Source organism: Homo sapiens, chromosome 5 (assembly GCF_000001405.40).
Source record: "Homo sapiens chromosome 5, GRCh38.p14 Primary Assembly".
NCBI lineage: Eukaryota > Metazoa > Chordata > Mammalia > Primates > Hominidae > Homo > Homo sapiens.
In genome coordinates, this window is record NC_000005.10 from 99,868,711 (window position 1) to 99,891,309 (window position 22,599).

Consider the following 22,599-nt stretch of genomic DNA (forward strand, 5'->3'; position numbering starts at 1 on the left):
TTTTCCTCCCTGAAAAAGAACTCTGGAATTTTGTTTAAGTTCCTTGTAGATTCTGGATATTAGATCTTTGTCAGACGTGTAGTTTGCAAATATTTTCTCCCGTTCTGTACGCTGTCTGCTTATTCTGTTGATAGTTTATTTTGCTGCATGGAAGCTCTTTAATCAAGTCCCATTTGTCAATTTGTGTTTTTGTTGCCATAGCTTTTGGTGTCTTCATCATGAACTCTTTGCCAGATCCTATGTACAGAATGGTATTTCCTAGATTATCTTACAGTGTTTTTATAGTTTTGCCTTTTACATTTAAATGTTTAATCCACTTTTAGTTGATTTTTGTGTATGATGTAAGGAAGGGGTCCAGTTTCAATCTTCTGCATATTGTTCGCCTGTCATCCCAGCACCATTTATTGAATAGGGAGTCCTTTCCCCATTGTTTGTTTGTTTTTTGTCCACTGTGTTAAAGATCAGATAGTTGTAGTTTCGATTGTTTTAAACTTTAGATCTCACAAATAAGTGGGAACATGCAATCTTTGTCTTTCTGTGCCGGGCTTATTTCACTTAACATAATGATCTCCAGTTCCACCTATGTTGTTGCAAATGACTGAATCTCGTTTGTTATGGCTGAATAATACTCCATTATGCATTATGGACACTTAATTTGCTTTCAAATATTAGCTATTGTAAAGAGTGCTGCCACAACATGGAAGTGTACATATCTCTTTGATATACCAATTTCCTTTCTTTAGGGCATAGGCCTGGCAGTGGGATTGCTGGGCCATATGGTAGCTCAACTTTTAGTTTTTTGAGGAACCTCCAAACTGTTATCTATAGTGGTTTTCCTAATTTAAATTCAGACCAACAGTGTACAAGGGTTCTCTTTTCTCCACATTCTCACCAGGATTTGTTATTGCTTGTCTTTTGGATATAAGCCATTTTAACTGGGAAGAAATAATATCTTTTTGTAGTTTTGATTTGCATTTCTCTGATGATTAATGATGTTGGGTTCCTTTTCATATGCCTGTTTGCCATTTGTATGTCTTCTCCTGAGAAATGTCTATTCAGATATTTTGCCCATTGTTGATTGGATTATAGATTTTTTCCTTCTGAGTTGTTTGAGCTCCTTATATATTCTGGTTATTAATCCCTTGTCAGGGAGGTAGTCTGAAAATAACATAAAAAAGACAAGTTCATCTTTGTTATCACTACCATTGATCTTACATTGTTCAAATGCTAGAGTTACTGTATTTTCCAGTGCCACTTCTTGTCCTTTACTGTTACCAACCTACAACACGTGATAGTTTTAGTATGCTAATCCTGTAGCATCTACCTAAATGTCAGCATGAAGGTACTTCTGTTCCATAATATTATACTGAGTGTCTATTTTCTAGGGCAGAAATAATGTCCTGAGTTTCCCTGCAAGCAGAGTATAAAACTTGGATAAACGTAGATTATTATAAGGCAATACTACAAAGTGGAAGCATGAAGGTGCTTCTATTCTATAATCTTATACTGAGTGTCTATTTTCTAGGGCAGAAAGAATGTCCTGAGTTTCCCTGCAAGCAAAGCATAAAACTTGGATAAAGACAGATTATTGTAAGGCACTACTAGAAAGTGGGAGTGAAAGAAGGGGAAGAGAAAGGGTCAGGGAAGATGGAGGTCAATATAAGGGTGCATTATTAAGGCAGCAGGAACTGACTTAGCTGGGACCTTTAAGAACTATTATATAAAAAAGTCTTTGTAGATGCCAAACCTGAATGAAACAAACAAACAAACAAACAAAAACCAAAAAACAGTATATTTATCCAGTAACACCATCATGACCCATTGGTTTGAAGGTTGCCTCTACAGGTGATAGCAATCTCACATTTTCATGCTGTACATGAGTGTGGGCAAATGAGATTGTTTTACCAGCAAAGAGACCCTATGGCAGAAGGTGGAAAAATGCACGGCACACATTTAAGATAGAATGCAGTCAATGCAGAATAAACCTTACTAGATGTGTCTATTAAAATTCTATATAGCCAGAGGAGATGTGATATTGGAACCAAGAATGTCTGCCACAGGTAGCATAAATTATGTCTATCTATTGTCTATGTTTTACAGTTCAGGAGGCTAAGATGTTCAAGATCAAAGTGTCCATATTTGGCATCTGGTGAGGGCCTTTTTGCTGCGTGCTTTACCTGGTAGAAGAGAAAGCACTGTCTTCTCATAGCAGAAAAGTAGAAGGCAAAACGGTAAAAAACAAAACAAAACAAAAAAAAAAACACCTAAGTTGTTCCCTCTGGCCTTTTCATAAGGCATTAATGGTTTCAAGAGGGCAGAGCCCATAGAACTTAATCACTTTCCAAAAAGCCTAACCTCTTTTTTTTTTTTTTTTTTTTTTTTTTTTTAATTGAGACGGAGTCTCTCGCTCTGTCGCCCAGGCTGCAGTATAGTGGCGCGATCTTGGCTCACTGCAAGCTCCGCCTCCCGGGTTCACGCCATTCTCCTGCCTCAGCCTCCCCAGAAGTAGCTGAGACTAGAGGCGCCTGCCACCACGCCCAGCTAATTTTTTGTATTTTTAGTAGAGACGGGGTTTCACCGTGTTAGCCAGGATGGTCTCGATCTCCTGACCTCGTGATCCGCCCGCCTCGGCCTCCCAAAGTGCTGGGATTACAGTCGTGAGCCACTGAGCCCAGCCCAAACAGCCTAACCTCTTAATAACATTACAATGAGAATTTGGCTTCAACTTTTGAATTTTGCAGACATTCAGACAACAGCATTACACACTACCTGGTATTTTTCCAATACATTTCTCTTTCATTTTATATAGTAAAATCAGTTTTTCTAGTTTGCATGCAAGAACTATCATTCTGAAAACATGTTTCTGGCAACCTTATTATTATTTTTTAATCTGAAGTTAGAGGTGCTACCCGTAGTAGCTCCTCTTAGAATTTCACTTAGAATTTGTGATTTTTCACTTAGAATTTGTGATTTATCACTGATGCTCAACATTTTCACCTTTTGGTTATTTTAAAATTAATTGCATCTAAAATATAATAATCAAAGTTGATTGTACTTTTCAATTCCTTTAGGAATGATTTTATGTACTGTGTCATCAAATTTTGTTCCAATTCAATTTTTTCTTGCCTCTTTCAGAAAAATCTATTTCTTGTGTTTTCTTTATGAATTCTTTAGCCATTTGTTTTCCTTGGTTTTTATCTCTTTTTTTCTTCCATGCATTCATAAACAGGTAATGGACTTGTCCTTTTGAAATCTCTGATTTATTATTATTTTTCTTTCTGAGTTTACACTTTTCTTTACAACAGCAACCAAGATAGATATGTAGCTTCCATGCATTGTTTGGCTCCTTTCATTTGTTTCCATCATACTTCCTTCTAATCAGCCTATATGTTTTTGTCATGGCTTTTCAACATCTTTGTTCTTCACAGAGTTTATCTTTGAAGAAAAAAGATTCAATGAAACAAAACAGATACATTCTAAGGTACTTTTGTAACAACTATTTTTCATATATACGTATTTTCAATATTTTTATATCATGCTTTAATTTCCAACTGTTTTAGATCATTTTTCACAGAGCCTAGGTCTGGTGGTTTGCTTCTACCCGTTCATCCTTGAATACAAAGTAATTAAGTAAGAACCAACATTCATCATTGGATACGTTAAATGCTCTCAATCTCTCAAGAGTTTTTGGGAATGAAACGTTCACAGATCAAGAACCCTAGTGCCATTGCTGTGCATCTGCTTCAATGACATTAAAGTTCCTATTGCCATTTATCAAATGAGCTTCTATGGAAGATTCTACTGAAAGTTTTCTCATTGGTGGTTGAGTTCACCCTGTGAAGTAAGTCAGGAATGGAAAACCAAACATTGTATGTTCTCACTAATATGTGGGAGCTAAGCTATGAGGATGCAAAGGCAAAAAAATGATGCAATGGACTTTGGGGACTTGGGGGAAAGAATGGGAGGGAGGCGAGGGATAAAAGACTACAAATATGGTGCGGCATATACTGCCCGGGTAATGGGTGCACCAAAATCTCACAAATCACCACTAAATAACGTACTTAGGCAACTAAATACCACCTGTACCCTAAAAGCTTATGGAAAAATAAAATAAAAAATTAAAATTAAAACATAGAATTTACAGCTATTTACATATGAATCATACATAAAAATTGACTCTTATTTTAACAGGCATTGATCTTCCACCTTTTCACGTCTTTCAGAACTAAATGGCTTAGTTATTTCATATAACTGTATCCAAAGAAGTTTCCTAACTTAACTCTTTCTAGCTATGTTCATGTTGCATACTAAAATCTGAAATTATTGAGTGAATATGAAAAAGAATTTTATTTACAATGATGACAAATAGGATTTTTATAGTATAGCATTTGTATAAGTTTGGCTTGTAAAAGTCTCTGAATTATGGAATACATGGCAAACAATAGTAGGAATTAGTCTTTTGTTACATTTTAAAGAGCTACCAACATTGTTTTTTGAGTATGAAAAATTTGCTATGCAAGAAAGTCATTGTCATTTCATTTCCATTTCCTTTAAATTTGAGATGAGATTGATGCCAGTATGGTAGTCTTAAGCATCACCATGGTTGCCTAGTTGTAAACTAGGAAACAGTGAATCAAGAAATTCTAGACTGTTTTTTAGATAGGTAGGAAAATTATGCTTATTAAGACTTAATCAACATTGAATCTTGAACTCTTGGTTTGTATTCTGTTTTACTGGAAACTAATTTCTGACGATAAAATTTCTAATAAATATGATGAAATCTTGAATTTATAAATGCTTAAACCTGAGATTTACTCACTACTGACTCTTTACTTTTAATTCCAGTTATGACAAGCTATCCTTCTCTGGTCATGGTGGCAGTAGGACAGAATAGTATCTTCAGCATTCAACAGTTCTTTTAGTAAGTGTTATGTGCAAAGCCACAGCCTGACAGTTATGCAATAATGGTTTTATTTGAACTTTTTAAGACAAGATTTGATCAGTAATTAGAAAAACCAGTTTGACTATTCACAATAGCAAAGACATGGAATCAACCCAGATGCCCATCAGTGGTGCATTGGATAAAGAAAATGTAGTACATATACACCATGGAATACTATGCAGCCACAAAAGGAATGAAATCATGTTCTTTGCAGCAATGTGGTTGCAGCTGGAGGCCATTATCCTAAATGAATTAACGCAGAAACAGAAAGACAAATATTGCATGTTCTCACTTATAAGTGGGAGCTAAATGTTAGGTACACAGGGATGTAAAGATGAGAACGTAGACACTGGGGACTCCAAAAGAAAGGAGGGAGAGAGTGGGGAAAGGGCTTAAAAACGACCTATTCTGTACTATGTTCACTATTTGGGTGACAGGTTCAGTTGAAGCCCAAACCTCAGCATCATGCAATATATCTATTTAACAAACCTGCACATGTACTCCCAGAATATAAAACCAAAAAGAGGAAATATCAGCTTAAACAAAGAATATGACATTTTTATAGTAAGAGCAGCCATTTCATCTGACAAATGGAAATTAATGTCACTTGATATATATTAGTTATCAGTATTAAAATAATTATGAATCACAACAAAGCCTACTCAATGCTGTAATTTCAGTTCTTCATACTTGTGATTTTATAGACCCATTTGAAAAATAATAGCTTTTGAAACTAATATCAAGAATAAAATTATGCTAGACACATGAATGACTGTCTTTGAAAATGACTAGACAACTGGAGAGTGCAGCAATCAACTACTGCTCAATTAATACTTCATAATTTCACTGTTCCAGTAGTATTCTGACTACTTACTATGTTTTCCTTTATGTTTGTAATTTAATACATTGGTCTGTTCAAATTCCTGCCATGGACAGGAATTTTATACTTTATTTTCTTATAATATTTACTTGATATAAAGAATTTCAGTGACTTTTTGTTTTGTTTGTAGGCAAAAGCTCTTCCTAGGAGATCTAGCCAACTACCAATTATGAAATAAAGAAATGTAGTGATAAATTCATGATAATAAATTCATTTTCTACAGGATTACTGATTGAAATATCAAGATTTTTAAAATCAGATATCCATAAATGTTTTACTTGAGAATAAATTACATATTTTACTATTGCATTAACTTCTTTATTTGCCAAAAGTTTTCGGAATGATATTGATAAATCCCACAGGCAGTTTCTATTTAAAGATTGATCTGATTTTTTCTGAGAGTAAGATTGTGTAATATCTATTTTAAACAGCCAGAACTGTTACAGACTATTTAAAGTAGAAAAAAGGTTTAATTTGGTGCAGTTATGGGCTTGTAATTGTTTAACAATAGTCTCTCCAGAAAAAAAGTGATTTGTAACATTTGACAATTTATCTGATGTAAATTCTCCTACTAAGGACAATTTTAAGCTACCAATGTAATGCCAATGAATTAAGAGATAGGAAGGAATAAACGGAATCACTTTCAAGTGCCTTTAAGAGTTCATAATATTAACCAGCACACTATGAAACGTGATGAAGTTTTTTAACTTAGATTTTACAATGGGGCAAATATACTACTATATTATCCAAGCTATACATTTTTAAAATGTATGGTATTTTGTATTTAGGGATCAAAAGTTATTTTGCAGCAAAAAAATAACCTTAAAAAAGGCATTCCTTATGTTACTTGCACAATATTAATCTTTATAATTTTACCATACTAGTCTACCCAAAGAATTATTCAAGATTCTCCTCCTACTCATTATAATCATACTCCATTTCCTTACAACTAATCTGGTTTCATCATACTCTTGCAAATACCAACTGAGTCTTCTGCTTTTTTCTATTTCTTTCATCCTATATTGATGTACAATAATCCCATGCACTTTTTTCCCAACATTCCTAAGTATCTAAATACTAGTATATACCCATACAAGAGACTACAAAACAACAATAACAACACAACAACATGTTTTTAAAAGTAAATTTGGTGATACAAGGACTTCTCATTATACTAGTAGTGACTATCTAAAACATAAGTAGTATGAATGTTATAAAGGAAAATACATCAAAACACAATCATCTTTAACAATTAAGAAAATTAAAGTAACTATATGTCTCTCAACACCATACTCATCATAAAGCAGTGTCTATGTATCCCCTTCATTATAAATGTCTTTGGTATGCATTCTTTCTGTGACTGAGGATTTTGCATGTAATGCATTGGATTACAAAGTAAAACATCACACTACTCAAAGAGTGAAGTATTCATTAAGTCAATAGAAGAGTTATTAGATAATTGGTTAAATCAAGTAAGAATGTAGCTCTAGAAAGGATCAATTAAAATTTTAAAAAGACATGGCTAAACTAGTTTACAGTCCCACCAACAGTGTAAAAGTGTCCTATTTCTCCACATCCTCTCCAGCACCTATTGTTTCCTGACTTTTTGATGATCGCCATTCTAACTGGTGTGAGATGGTATCTCACTGTGGTTTTGATTTGCATTTCTCTGATGGCCAGTGATGATGAGCATTTTTTCTTGTGTCTGTTGGCTGCATAAATGTCTTCTTTTGAGAAGTGTCTGTTTATATCCTTCGCCCACTTTTTGATGGGGTTGTTTGTTTTTTTCTTGTAAATTTGTTTGAGTTCTTTGTAGATTCTGGAAATTAGCCCTTTGTCAAATGAGTAGATTGCAAAAGTTTTCTCCCATTCTGTAGGTTGTCTGTTCACTCTGATGGTAGTTTCTTTTGCTGTGCAGAAGCTCTTTAGTTTAATTAGATCCCGTTTGTCAATTTTGGCTTTTGTTGCCATTGCTTTTGGTGTTTTAGACATGAAGTCCTTGCCCATGCCTATGTCCTGAATGGTATTGCCTAGGTTTTCTTCTAGGGTTTTTATGGTTTTAGGTCTAACATTTAAGGAAGATAGTGTGGCGATTCCTTGAGGATCTAGAACTAGAAATACCGTTTGACCCAGCCATCCCATTACTGGGTATATACCCAAGGGATTATAAATCATGCTGCTATAAAGACACATGCATATGTATGTTTACTGCAGCACTATTCACAATAGCAAAGACTTGGAACCAACCCAAATGTCCAACAATGATAGACTGGATTAAGAAAATGTGGCACATATACACCATGGAATACTATGCAGCCATAAAAAATGATGAGTTCATGTCCTATGTAGGGACATGGATGAAGCTGGAAACCATCATTCTCAGCAAACTATCACAAGGACAAAAAACCAAACACCACATGTTCTCACTCATAGGTGGGAACTGAACCATGAGAACACTTGCATACAGGAAGGGGAACATCACACACTGGGGCCTGTTGTGGGGTGGGGGTAGAGGGGAGGGATAGCATTAGGAGATATACCTAATGTAAATGATGAGTTAATGGGTGCAGCACACCAATATGGCACATGTATACATATGTAACAAACCTGCACATTGTGCACATGTACCCTAGAACTTAAAGTATTAAAAAAAAAAAGAAGGCAAAAAAAAGACATGGCTATCTACTTGAATGATGGTATTGCAGATGTTCCAAAGAATAATAGAGTGATGCAAAAAATGGCAGTGCTAGAGTAAACTTACTGCTGCAAACACTTATATTATAAAAGAACAATCTCTAATAAATATCTTAAACTTTTCACTTAAGAAACTACAAAAAGAACAAACTAAATTCAAAGCAATGAGAAGGAAGTAAATAATAACAAGTGGAACACAAATAAATGAAATATAGAAAAAAAATAGAGATAATGAATGAAACCAAAAGTGCATCCGTTGAATAGACACACCAAATTGACAAAAAATAAAAATCTAAACAAGATAAACTAAACAAAGAAGAGAGAAAAGCGCAGAAGTTATGAATTTCAAGAATAAAGGCAGACCCTATAAGCGTAAAGAGGATTATAAGGGAATTTGATGAACGACTGTATGTCAACAAATTAACATGAACCAGATGAAACAGAAAATTTCCTAGAAAGATACAAACTATGAAAACTGACTCCAGAATAAAAAGAATATCTGAATAGACATATAACAAGAGATTAAATTAGTAATCAAACAGTCCACTACAAAGAAAAATCAAGTCTCAGAGGGCTTCACTAGTGAATTCAAACTTTTAAACATGAATCTTTCACAAACTTTTGCAAAAAGGAGGAGAGAAGAGGACACTTTTCCACATCATTCTATGAAGTATCAATGAATTATTACTATGAAGTATCTGTGAAGTTATCTATGAAGTATTACTCTGATACCAAAATCAGAGAAAGATATCAGATATAAAGAAAACTATAGATGAATATTTCTTATAGATATAAAAGCAAAATTTTCAATATATACTAGCAAATTTAATCCAGTAACATACAAAAATTAGACAACCTGACCAAGTGCGACTTGTCACAGGAATGTGAGATTAGTTTAACATCTCAAAATCAGTAACTGTAAGACACCATATTGACAGAATAAAGGATTAAAAATGTGATTATCTCACTAGAACAAGAAACAAAATTTGACAAAAAAATTGAAAAACACTCTTTCATGATAAAAAATACTCAGCAAAATAGGATAAAGGAATTACCACCTTCATCTGATAAAGAACACTTAGGAAAAAACTATAAATAACGTTATACATACTGACATAAGAGTGAACACTTTTCTCCTAAGGTCAGGAAAAAAACCAGGATTGTCTACTCTCCCCAGTAGAGTGCAACATTGTACTAAAGGTTAGAGCCAGCGCACTTAAACAAGTAAAAGAAATAAAATGCACATGTTAGAAAGAAGTAAAACTATCTCTGCATATTGATGCCATGATCTTGTACACAGATAAGCCTAAGGAATCTTTACTAAGATACTAGTATAATTTAAAAAGGGGGAGAAGATGGCTGACTAGAAGCAACTTTTGTGTGCTGCTGTCATGGAGAGAAGAAAAAACGGTGAATGGACAGTAGTTCTTCAAGTGGAACAACCAGGTGGATACATTGGGATTCATCAAGGAAACAGTGTGACCAACAGGGAATGGAGAAGAGTGAGATAATACAGCTGCCCCCCCCAGGAGTGGCATGGAGCCAGGGGACTCCTTCAACCACAGGTAAATGGTGAGTGAGTGAGGCCACAGGGACCCACACTTTTGCCATGGGCTTCTGCATCCCTGGGCCCAGAACATTCTTTGTAAGCCCTACAACTGAGGCCTCCAGACTGACAAAGAGAGCTACATGGAATCCAGAGGTGGCACTCAGGCTCGTATGGAGTTCCAGGAGCCTTGGATCCCCAGGCATCCCCATGCCAGTGGCTGAAGTTCCCGGAACAGAGGATAAAGATAAGTCCCACTGGCCTGGGACATTAGTGTGGCCACTCCAGCCACGCCTGAGTTTTCTGGCCAGGAGCAGCTCCGCTCTTACCTGGGATTGAGCTCCCTAAGGGAGAGGCAGGCTGCCATTTTCACTGTGCCACAGATGTCTGTTGCCCTTAGGCTTGGGGGAGTGTGAGCGATTAGGGACTGTTGCAGATTCCCAGCACAGCTCAACTTCCTTACAGAAAAGTAGCCAAACTGTTTTCCACGTGGGTCCATGACCCAGCTGCTCCTCTCTGGGCAGGACCTTCTCACCTGTGACTTCAGCCACCCCTCGCCTGGGCTTTTGGACTGGTAGCAGCTTTGCACTTCCCTGAGACAGAACTCCCAGAAAGAGAGGCAGGCCACATTTTTGCTGCTCTACAGCCCGCCCTCCTGTTGCCTTTGGGCTTCAGAGGGAGTGCAGTGATTAGGGACTATCATGGAACCCCTGGCCAGTCCAGCGACCTTATGAAAAAGTGGCCACTGTTGTTTCCCATGTGTGTTCCTAACCTTGCTGCTCCTCGCTGGGCAGGGCCTCCTGACTGGGACCTAGCCACATCCCGACTAGGCTCTTGGGCAGTAGCAGCTCTGTGGTTCCCTTGGACAGAGCTCCCAGAGGGGCAGGCACGCTGCCATTTTTGCTACCTCACAACGCTCACTCCTATTTCCCTTAGGCTCAGGAGGGAGCATAGTGGTTGGGGATTGACCTGGATTCCCAGCACAGCACAGCAGCCTTATGGAAAGTGACAAGAGTGTTTTCCACGCGGGTCATTATATTAGGCCTCCAGCACAATCACCCTGCCCCACCTGAACACTTCAGTTCGTGACAGATCTGTGTTTCTCTGGGGAGGAAAGCACAGAGACAACCCATAGCCCCTCTGCCATTGCAACTGCACTGGTATTGCCTTTACTGCCCTCAGGCTGGGTAAGGGGAAAAGGTCCTGGTCACTATCCTGGAACATCCAGCATTTTGCAGCCACCACAGAGAGAGGAGCCCAGGCTCTCTTCCCTGTGAGCCCCTACCACCCAGTGTTTACCAAGCAAGATCACCAGCTCTAGACCTCAGAACAGCTGTCCTACACCCAGCTGAGCATTCCCACTTCTGGTGGCTCTGTGTTTCCCTGAAGAAGGGTCTCCAAGAGACAATCAACAGCCCCCCAGACACTGTCACAGCAGCAGTTTTGTCCCTGCTGCCTCTGCACTGGAGAAGAAACAAAGAGCCTGAGGGCTTTAGTCTCACTTTCAGCACAACACAGTCACCATATGGAGAGAAGCCCAATCTCTTTTCCCTGTGAGCCCTAAACCATCTGCTCTTCATCAAGTGGGGCTCTCACCTCAGGTCAGAGGTGCAGCCATTGACTATCTGGCTGAACATTACCAGTAGCAGCATTTCTGCATTTCTCTGAGGTAGAGCTCTAAGAGTCAACTGAAAGCCCCGCTGCCATTGGCTCTGCAGTGGTACTGCCCTTGCTGCCTTGAAGGTACAAAACTCACTCATAATATAAGCACACAGAAAAATATCATAACACTGTAACTATGGTGTCTAAACTAGTCTAATCCTATATATAAAGACTAAATGATGAACCAATCAAAAATAATAACTGAAACAACTTTTAAAGACATAGTCAATACAGTAAGATATAAATATAAACCACAAAATGTTTAAAAGCAGGGAGATAAAGTTAAAGCATAGAGCTTTTGTTAGTTTTTTTTTTCTTTTTTTTTTCATGCAAATAATGGTAAGTTTTTATCAGCTTAAAATAATGGGTTATAAAGTAATATTTGCACACCTCATGGTAACCTTGAACCAAAAAAACATACAGTGGATACACACACAAAAAAGTGAGAAACTAAATCATATCACTAGAGAAAAATCACTTTCACTAGAGGAAGACAGGAAGTAAAAAAAGAGAACACCACAAAACAACCAGAACATATAACAAAATTGCAAGAGTAAGTTCTTACTTATCAACAATAACATTGAATGTAAATGGACTAAAGTCTTTCATCAAAAGACATAGATTGGCTGAATAGGTAAGTAACAAGACTCATTGATCTGTTGCCTATGAGAAACAAATTTCACCTATAAAGACACATATATACTGAAAATAAAGGGATGAAAAAAAATATTCCATACCAATGGAAACCAAAAATGAGTAGAAGTCACTATAGTTGTATAAGACAAAATAGATGTAAAGGTAAAAACTATAAGAAGAGACAAAGAACACTACTATCTAATGATAAAGGGTTCAATTAATCAAGAGACTATAACTATTTTAAATATATATGCACCTAACTGTGGAGCACCCAGATAGGTACAGCAAATATTAGCAGAGCTAAAGACAGAGATAGGCCCCAGTACAACAATAGCTGGAGATTTCAACATCCCACTTTCAGCATTGGACGGATCTTCCAGATGGAAAATCAACAAAGAAACACCAGACTTAATTTTCACGATAGACCAAATGGGTCTAACAGATATTTACAGAACATTCCATCCAGCTGCAGAATATACATTTTTTCCCTCAGTTCACGGATCCATCTCAAGGATTGACTGTACATTAGGTCACAAAACAAGTCTTAAAAATTGAGATAGTATCAAGCATCTTCTCTGACCACAATAGAATAAAGCTAGAAATTAATAACAAGAGGAATTTTGGAAACTATACAAATTCATGGAGATTAAAAAACATGCTCCTGTACGACCAGTAGGTCAATGAAGAAATTAAGAAGGAAATTAAAAAATTTCTTGAAACAAATGATACTGGAAACACAGCATACCAAAACCTCTGGAATAAAGCAAAAGCAGTACTAAGAGGGAAGTTTATAGCCATAAGTGCCTACCTCAAAAAAGAGGAAAAACTTCAAATGAACAATCTAATGATTAATATCTTAAAGAGCTAGAAAAGCAAGAGCAAACCAATCCCAAAATTAGTAGAAGAAAGTAAATCATAAAGATCAGAGAAGAAATAAATGAAATTGAAAGAAAATTAAAAACATACATGAAATTGAAATGAGTAAAGCAATACAAAAAATCAATAAAAAATAAGCTCTATTTTTTGAAAAGTTAGACAAAATTCACAAACCTTTAGCCGGAAATCAGAAATGAGAGAGACATTACAACTGATACTGCATAAATTCATATATAATTAAATATCTGTGAATTACCTTAACCAAAGTGAAAGATCTAAATAATGAAAACTATGAAATACTGATGAAAGAAATTGAGAATTTTTTATGTTAAAATCTTTATTGGCAAAGAAAGTAGGCTTAAAGAAACCTATTCTTTAAAACTTGTTGAAATATAACTTATGGTCTTGGAAATGGTAAGTTTAATAACTATTTTCTATAGGTTGAAATGTTCTTTTTATGTCCATTAGATCAAGTTTAATTTTCCATTGTAAAAATTTATATTTTAACTTTTTGGAAGAAATGTTGAAACCTCTCATTATTATTTTAAAAAATCTGTTAATTTTTACTTTCAAGTTTTTAAATATAAATTACTATCCAAATACAAGTCTAGAATTTTCACATCTAGTGAGCTGATTGAACATTTTTATCACAGAATAGAGACCTTTTTATTCCTAGTAATGTTATTTGCCTTAGAGCCAATTTTGCCTATGTTACTGTATCTGTAACATTTTAGTATTTTTTTATTGAATTTACACTTTTACAGAAAAGTGTAGTATATATAATATAGAACTCAAAGAAAGGCTACAAAGTATACATACCAACCTAATCAGGAAATCCAATATTGCCAGCGCCTCAGAAGCCCACCTACAAACTCTCCCAGTCCTTATTTCCCCATTCCCCTAAGGGTAATTCCTATCCTGACTTTTAATATCATACTTTAGTTTCTGTTGTTCTTGAACTTTGTATAAATGTAATCGTATAATAGGTATTCTTCCGTGTCAGTATTTTTATTTGCCTTAGCTGTAGTGTGTTCATTTAAAGTATTTTATTGTATGCATATGCTATAATTTTTAACCATTCTACTGATGATGGACATTTAAATTGTATCAAGTTTGGAACTTTTACAAATAATACTGCTATGAATATTATTGTACTTTTCTTTGGCACACATATGCATTTTTATGTTATGTATTTACCGAGAAATAGAGTTGCCAGATAAAACACAAGATACCCAATCAAACGGGAATTTCAAATAAACAATAAAAAAAATTAGTATATTTATGTCCCAAATATTGCATGCATGCATTTATGCTAAAAAAGTGTATTCATTGTTTATCCAAAATTCACATTAAACTGAGTTTCATGCATTTTTATATACCAAATTTGGCAACCCTACATAGAAATACATAGTAAAAATAAAAAACAAAACCTCCCTGTGGTCAGAAAAGTATTCCATTATACTATGATATCTTCTAGAAATTTTCTTATTAGGCCTTTAGCTATATAGTCTCTTGTATTAGACATTTTTGTTGTTGTTGTGAAGTTTCATTTGGTTACTTTTCATATTTTATTTTTTTACAAATAGTTATCCAGTTCTGCTAGAAAACTTTATGGAAAAAACCATTACTTCTTTGGTAGTGCACAGTCCCACCTAGGGTTTGGCCAAAATCTACTAAAATATGTGAAAATTTAAAATTGGATAACATTAAATCTGTAGATCAATTTTGGAAGAAACAAAATTTATAAAACATATAGTGCTCAAACCATAAACTTGCTATAGTTTTCCATTAATTTAGGTCATTAATTTTTCAAAATATATTTTAGAGTGGTCTGTGTCTAAGTCTTGAACATATTTTGTTGAATTTCTTTCTAAATATTTGATGTTTTTGTTGCTTTTTAAGTAGTTATATTTTTTGAAAATTTCTGTAATTAAATTATTGGAAACAATCCACTGTTTTCTCCATATATTTTTTAACAATTGTGATTTTTGTAAGAACTTAGCAATGTTATTCCCTACCAGATAACTGTAGAAGCATTTAAGGAAATAATCCTGCATAGTTTTATTCATTATTAAATCCACAGTACCTAGCTCAATGTATGTCACATAGTAGGCAATAAATAAATACTTGCTGCAATCTTTGCAAGAAATGCTTAACCCCCAGGATTTGAAAATTGACCCTCAGTTCCACTTACATAGAATATTTGGTTGATAGATATATTTTCAACACATAAGTACCAACCTTCAACATGTAATTACATAGGAATATTTTTCTTACAATTTTCCTATTCTAGAAACACATGGGACTGCTTAATTTAATTTAGGAGATGTGGGTGTGAATGTTAAGGATTAATTACATAACACAACCGGATGAATTTGGTAAAATGATCTTTAGAATTCACCTTTCACTATTTTAACAAATAGTTAAAATACTGGGACATATATGTACAGAAAAGCTACTAAGATTTGGTCTGCATGACTATAATCCAGAGTAAAGGCTAGATCCATCCTACAGACTTGATCAAACCTTATGTTGCATTTAGTTCAGAAATCCAGAGTTTTATTAGGAGTAATAGTCATAATACCTGCAAGGAAAGCAAACAAACAAGATAGGCAATGTCTAAAGAAACTATGCTTGAAATTTTTTTTCTTTTAATCAACAAAGAGAATGTTATATATACTCTTAAATGTCTTGAGCTCATAACAGCTTTTGTTTTACTCTTTGCTGCTCCATAGAGTAAAGAGGATCAGGATAAAGCATTATTTTTAAAAAATCTGTTTTGGATAGATATATAAGAAACGTTGTAATAATTAGATTTTCCCAAAGATGAAAATGGTCTATCATTCTGCCTCTCTCTCTCTTAAGCTAGAATTGCATCACCCTTGTTAGAGAATCCCTGAAATCTGTGAGTATCTCCATTATCTTTTCAATTATCAGTTTTTTTCACTGTAAACCATTAGAAAAGCATAATATTCTTCCATTTCCTAGGTTATTATTGTCTTTTAATAAACAATCAGGAAAATAACAAATGCATAATTTTATAATCTGAAGAAGCTATGCAATCATTGTATTCTAATATATGAATACATTTGTTATATTCATATATAGCATATATATACAACTTTTTAAGGGGAATTATGGTTCATAAGCAAGACAATAACAGTTATGGTGAGTATATGAATCAAGTAAATGGAAGAAGATATTTTTCTGGTATCTAAAAAAGATTTAAGAGATTATTCATTCTCCTTATAATTTTCTTTGAATTAAATGTTGATATGGCCTATTATATTTGAAATAACTTTAATTTTTAAAATCAGTGCAACAAAAAAAAACTGTTTCTGGCATTGTGTATTCCCCTTTATATTTATTTGCAATGATAAAATCATGCATTTATAGGCTTGTGGGTTAATGTAGATACAAGTAATGCGATGTACCATTTTAATTTAAATGCAAAACATTTATTGCTCTTACATAAAGTCAATAATATCTATACTGGTGAATAAGTGCCACTGATCCAAATCAATTTTTTAAATTACCTAAAAATTTATTATTGCTCATAACTTTATATTTCTCTAGATACTATGTAAATCTTTGAAAACAATTAGCAAATCCAAAAGCACTTTGTAAATCTATGAATTTTTAATGCTCCTTTACATGCCATCTTTCTTCTAACTTGAAAATATAATTCCCTTCAATGTCCCTTCCCTTCTCAAACCTTTTAACTTCCAGCACTAAAGACAGCTGTGCAGAGCATAAATAACATATTAATTTTCATGGTCTATGAATCAGACAATACCAATGGATTTTCAACTATTTTAAATACCTTCCAATTACAGCTGAATCTCACATTGCCATTACCTGAATATGTGGGAAAACAAACTTTGTTTGGATGACATAAAGGCCTATGAGGAAATACCATATTATCCTGAGGGTGCAGTACAGGAGGTGATTAAATGCAGGATGGAAGCAGGGAAGGGAAGTAATGAAACTATTACTCCATATAATAAACAACTATATATATTCTTCAGATTCTAATCTATTTGTAGGCAAGTGAATGTCTTCAGTAGAGCAGACTGATAATCGGAGTTGGAGAGAGGGCTCACAACATTATCCTTGAAGCGAGTGTCTTCACTAGAGCAGAATGATAATTAGGATGTGGAGATGGGCAAATAATATCACCCTTGACAACGATAATAATCAGAGTGAAATATATAGACATGCATCACTTCCTTAATCTCAAACTTTGGGAGCACTGTGACACCATTCAGTCCAAATCACAATCCTCCCAATAAGTATAGTGAGGCACCTTTAAGCAGTCTCACAACAAGGTACCTTAATGAATGCCTGGCTTGGAGAGGAATAACTTGGTAGGTACCTCTGTATCATTGTTGATTTGTTGTTTTAATTTTTATTTTTAAATAATGTTAGAAAAAGTTAGAAAAGTGACAAAGATAGCATAAAGAACCCTTTTATGACCTCTTTCTGGATTCTGCCAATGTTAACCATCTTACAGAACCATAGCAAATTTGTCAAAACAAAGAAACCAAATTTGTATATTACTATCAACTAAATTTCAGACATTTCTCCGTTATCTCTTCCAATCTGTCATGGTGTTTAGGTCTTGCCTTGTTTTTTATGATCTTCAAAATTTTTCAAATAGTTAAGAATTTAACAATGTTGTCTTTATACATATATTACAAAAGAATAGAAGTTGGAATCGTGGGCTACTCTTCCATTCTGTCAGATATGCAGTGGCTAAGGGAGAATAATTGGGAGAGTTTAAGCTAGTATCTTTTGTGCAGCTGTGGGTGTCAATAGAACAAGAAAATCTTTTTTAAAAAGGTAGAAACAGTGGGCAGTACTGTACATATGAGTCCAATTCTCTTAACAAAACAAAACACCAAAAATGTTGCCAAAAAAGAAAAAGCATGCAACGTGAAACAAGCACACAAAATGTTTTAAAAATAATCTAAAAATCTTAAGAGGAAAAATCAAATAATGAGGTAAACCAAATACATATATGTATCTCAGATTGTAAATGGTTTACTACTAGAATATTTTTCAGTATCATTTTTGTAATTCGACATTTAGCTATGCCTTTTCTGTACTTTCTTTGATTTCACATCATTTTGAGGTTTTTGGTAAATTCTATATGCCTTCCACATATGAGATATATTATTTAAAATGATAGTCATAAGATTCAGCAGATGTTAAGAAATAGGCTTGTTTACAGAAGGTATTTGAAGATTATGTAGTAATTAAGCTTTTAATTTTTTCTTTCCAGATTTAAAAAACATTCTTCCTTTCTTTCTGAAGTTAATTCTTCTAGGTATCAATTATTGAAATTTGTCTCCTAAAATACTTCAAACTATCATGCATAATTGCTTTTCTAAAAATGTTTAATTATTATGGGCAAATAATAGGTGCTTATATTCATGGGACATATGTGATACTTTGATACAGGCATATAATGTACAATCACATCAGCAAAATTGGGGTATCTATCACCCCAAGCATTTATCATTTCTTTGTGTTAGAAACATTCACATTTAACTCATTTAGTTATTTTAAAATATACAATAAGTTATTATTGACTATAGTCACTGTATTGTGCTGCTAAATACTAGATATCATTCATTCTGACTATATTTTTACACCCATTAACTCTACTTCTTCCTCTCTTCCCAGCTACCCTCCCCAGCTTCTAGTGACCGAATTTCTATTCTCTTAAGCTCCCACAATGCTTTCTCTCTAGAATTTTTCACTACCTAAATGTCAACTGCTTATATACAATAAAAAGTGTGTTTTGTTTTTATCTGTTTCCTCCATACTGTTTTCATTCTTTCAATCATTTGCCAAAATTTAAATGCAATTTACTATCCTTTTATCTATTTAGAATATTGATGGAGTTACATGGTACAGTTGAAGATAACATTTACCAGACAATCAAGGAGATGATTTTATATGGACTATTGCAATAGGGACAGGAGAACATTTTTGAACATCAAAGTATCTCAACAGAATGGTTTTGCCTTGACACTCTTACAGGGAGGAGTAAACAAGTTGCCGAAGAGGTGCTTGTTTGTTTTGTACATGAGTCCAACTCTCTAACCCAAAAAAGAACACCAAAGAAGTTGCTAAAAAGAAAAAGGAAATAATGAGGTAAACAAAATACCTATGTGTATTTCATACTGTAAATTGTTTAATATTAGAATAATTTTCAGTGCTGTTTTGTAAGCAGGGAACATTTGTCAGTTATTTTAACAGGAAAATGTTTATTTCTGTGCCTAGCTAGTTTCAGGGGTATAAAGAGCTTTAATCCTAGCTAATTACTCATGAAACAAAGAAGAGTAAAGTTAGTTAGGTGCTGATATGGTTTAGCTCTGTGTCCCCACCCAAATCTCATGTTGAATTGTAATCCCCAGTGTTGGAGGTGGGGCCTGGTGAGAGGTGATTGGATCATGGTAGTGATTTCTAATGGTTTAGCACCATCCAGCTAGTGCTGTCTCGTGATAGAGTTCTCACGAGATCGAGCCATTTAAATGTGTGTGGCACCTTTCCCCTTGCTCTCTCTCTCCTGTTGGCCATGTGAAGACTCTGGCTGCTTCCCCTTCACCTTCTGCCATAATTGTAAGTTTCCTGAGGCCTCCCTAGAAGCAGACGCCTGTATAGCCTGCAGAACTGTGAGGCAATTAAGCCTCTTTTATATATATGTGTGTGTGTGTGTGTGTGTATACACATATATATATAATTACACAGTCTCAGGTCTGTCTTTATACTGGTGTGAAAACAAAACAAAATGGATCTGTATCTGTCATTTATCAAAAAGTTTAAGAAACAGGGAAAGATTTGTTTTTGGCCTTGTCATTAACCATTATGAAAAATTCATTCTGCACCATTCTCTCCATTAAATGTTTTATCATTATTCTTGCTGTGCAATACCATATAAAAGATTGACTGGATTACACATATTCATATTTTAAATTTATGTCTGCAATGTTAAGGCAGGCTATATTCTCACATTTCTTCATAAATGTAGCCATTGTATGAAGTTAATGGTATTTTAGGATATGCAGAATACAGAACATCAATATTGTTCAAATATAACAATAACTTCAGTTTTCTGGGGATTTAGTAGCGGTAAAGTGTCATTTCATATGTTCAGTATATTTGCTATGTACAGCATTACCATTGTGATGTATCTTATAGGTTTTTTATTGTCAGATACTTCTCTCAAATGTTTTGTCTACCTAAACTTTCAAATCAGCCTATAATTCTTCTATTTGTCTAGAGTTTACTGCTAGCAGCATATAATGTTTGTATCAGATTTTTTCCCCCAATAATTTGTGGAAGTAGTCATATTTTATAAGTATGCTTGTATGTAAAGGATTGTATTTAAAGTATTAAGAGTAGATATATTATTTTAAATAACCTATAGCATGAATTCAAATACCATTACACAGTTTTGCATTTTAATAACTGTTTTGTTGACCATGCTTAGTGTATCTTTTCTTAATTCTGAGTAATGGGAAGATATACCCAAGTGTAATGTACCTCTTATTCTAGATATGTGGTGAAGAAAAATTCTTCCTTCCAATAATTCTTTCTTGGTAATAGAGAATATATTAGAACAAATACGGAAATGATGGGAGCTCTCTTTTCTAGGACTTTACAAATGCTAGATCCTGTTTTGTTTACAAAAGCATCTTTACAAATGCTAGATCCTGAGACTTTAAATACAAAGAAAAAAGTTAACCTTAGGTATGTTTTATGGATGTAAACAATTTATTCATAATTTATTTCAAATTTATTCATAATTTGAATAACAAAGAATGATCTCCCTCATATATATTTCTTTAGTATTACATTAATATTTACTAAATTTGCAAAACATGTTCCATTTTTGGGCATTTTATAAATTTAGAAGCGATATCAACCAAAATATTAAAAGATAGTAGCTAAGAATCAGTTTTGTGGGGAAGACCATGTATGATTAGACAATATTTTATTATCTTAATCCAATAATATAGTGAATAATGATAAATATGAGAAGAGATATCTGACATTTATAAATATAAAGGGCACTTATGTAAATTTATAGGAAAATAGAATTTTTGTAAGGAGAATAATTTGATAATTTTTGTTGTCTTTTTTGAGACGGAGTCTCGCTCCGTCGCCCCGGCTGGAGTGCAGTGGCGCGATCCCTGCTCGTGTTGCAAGCTCCACCTCCCGGGTTCACGCCATTCTCCTGCCTCAGCCTCCCGAGTAGCTGGGACTACAGGTGCCCGCCACCACGCCCGGCTAATTTTTTGTATTTTTTAGTAGAGACGGGGTTTCAGCGTGTTAGCCGGGATGGTCTTCATCTCCTGACCTCGTGTTCTGCCCGCCTTGGCCTCCCAAAGTGCTGGGATTACAGGCGTGAGCCACCGCGCCCAGCTGATAAATTTTTATGTGACAGAGTTAGTGATTTTTAGAAAAAGGAAGTTCACGTCAAATATATATTTGTAAGTATAATACAAAAAAAATCTATACATGCATTCAGAATATCCTCTTCCTCTCTCTTTTCTGAATGGTTCTGGTTCTTTTGTCCAGAGGATATAAAAAAGAAGTAATAAAAAAGCAAAATAAGGACAGAAAAGCAAATTTTGTTTACATTTAAAAAGAAAGTCCTATTTTTTTTTCAAAAAGAGGATATCTGCAAGGCAAAAGGAAGGAATTGAAGACAGAGTGGAATTTCAGGTAGATAACGACTTAGAGTAGCCCCTAGGATGAGAGGGGTTTTAAGGGAAAAGCTGCTCAAAGTTGAATTTTAGAATATGGTGCTGTGTATAAGGATGAAATTCCACTGCTTTCCAGGCTTCCTGCTCAAAAAACTTGCATAAAATTTACATTATTTTTGAAGCCTTTTGCAGTTGAATGAATGCTCTTTGAATGTGACACACTGTTAAAATGAATCTTAAAGAGAGAACAAGACAAGCAGAATAATTTACGTTATACAAATAAAACCATTTTGAAGAGTTATATCTCCCATGACCACAAAGGCATGTTGCAGAGTCTCCCCTGCAACAGCATGCTCACCCTGTAGTGGAATTCACGTTTATGATGAGTATGAAGGCAGCTAAAATCACTTTGAAACCTGTGGAAAAGAATGGGGATTAAATTATGTTCCGCTGCATCACTTTATCCAAAAGTCAAAACTGATACTGAATGAATTAAAATTAAAAAGTGAAAGAAATTGAAGAAAGATGCTCCACTTCCTGATTAAAGCCAAGCTCAAATACCTGTATTCCACTAGAGAGATTATAGTATTAGGATTGCCCCTGCAGGAATCTGTAACAGTCACTAAGGGATGTCCACAAGCCT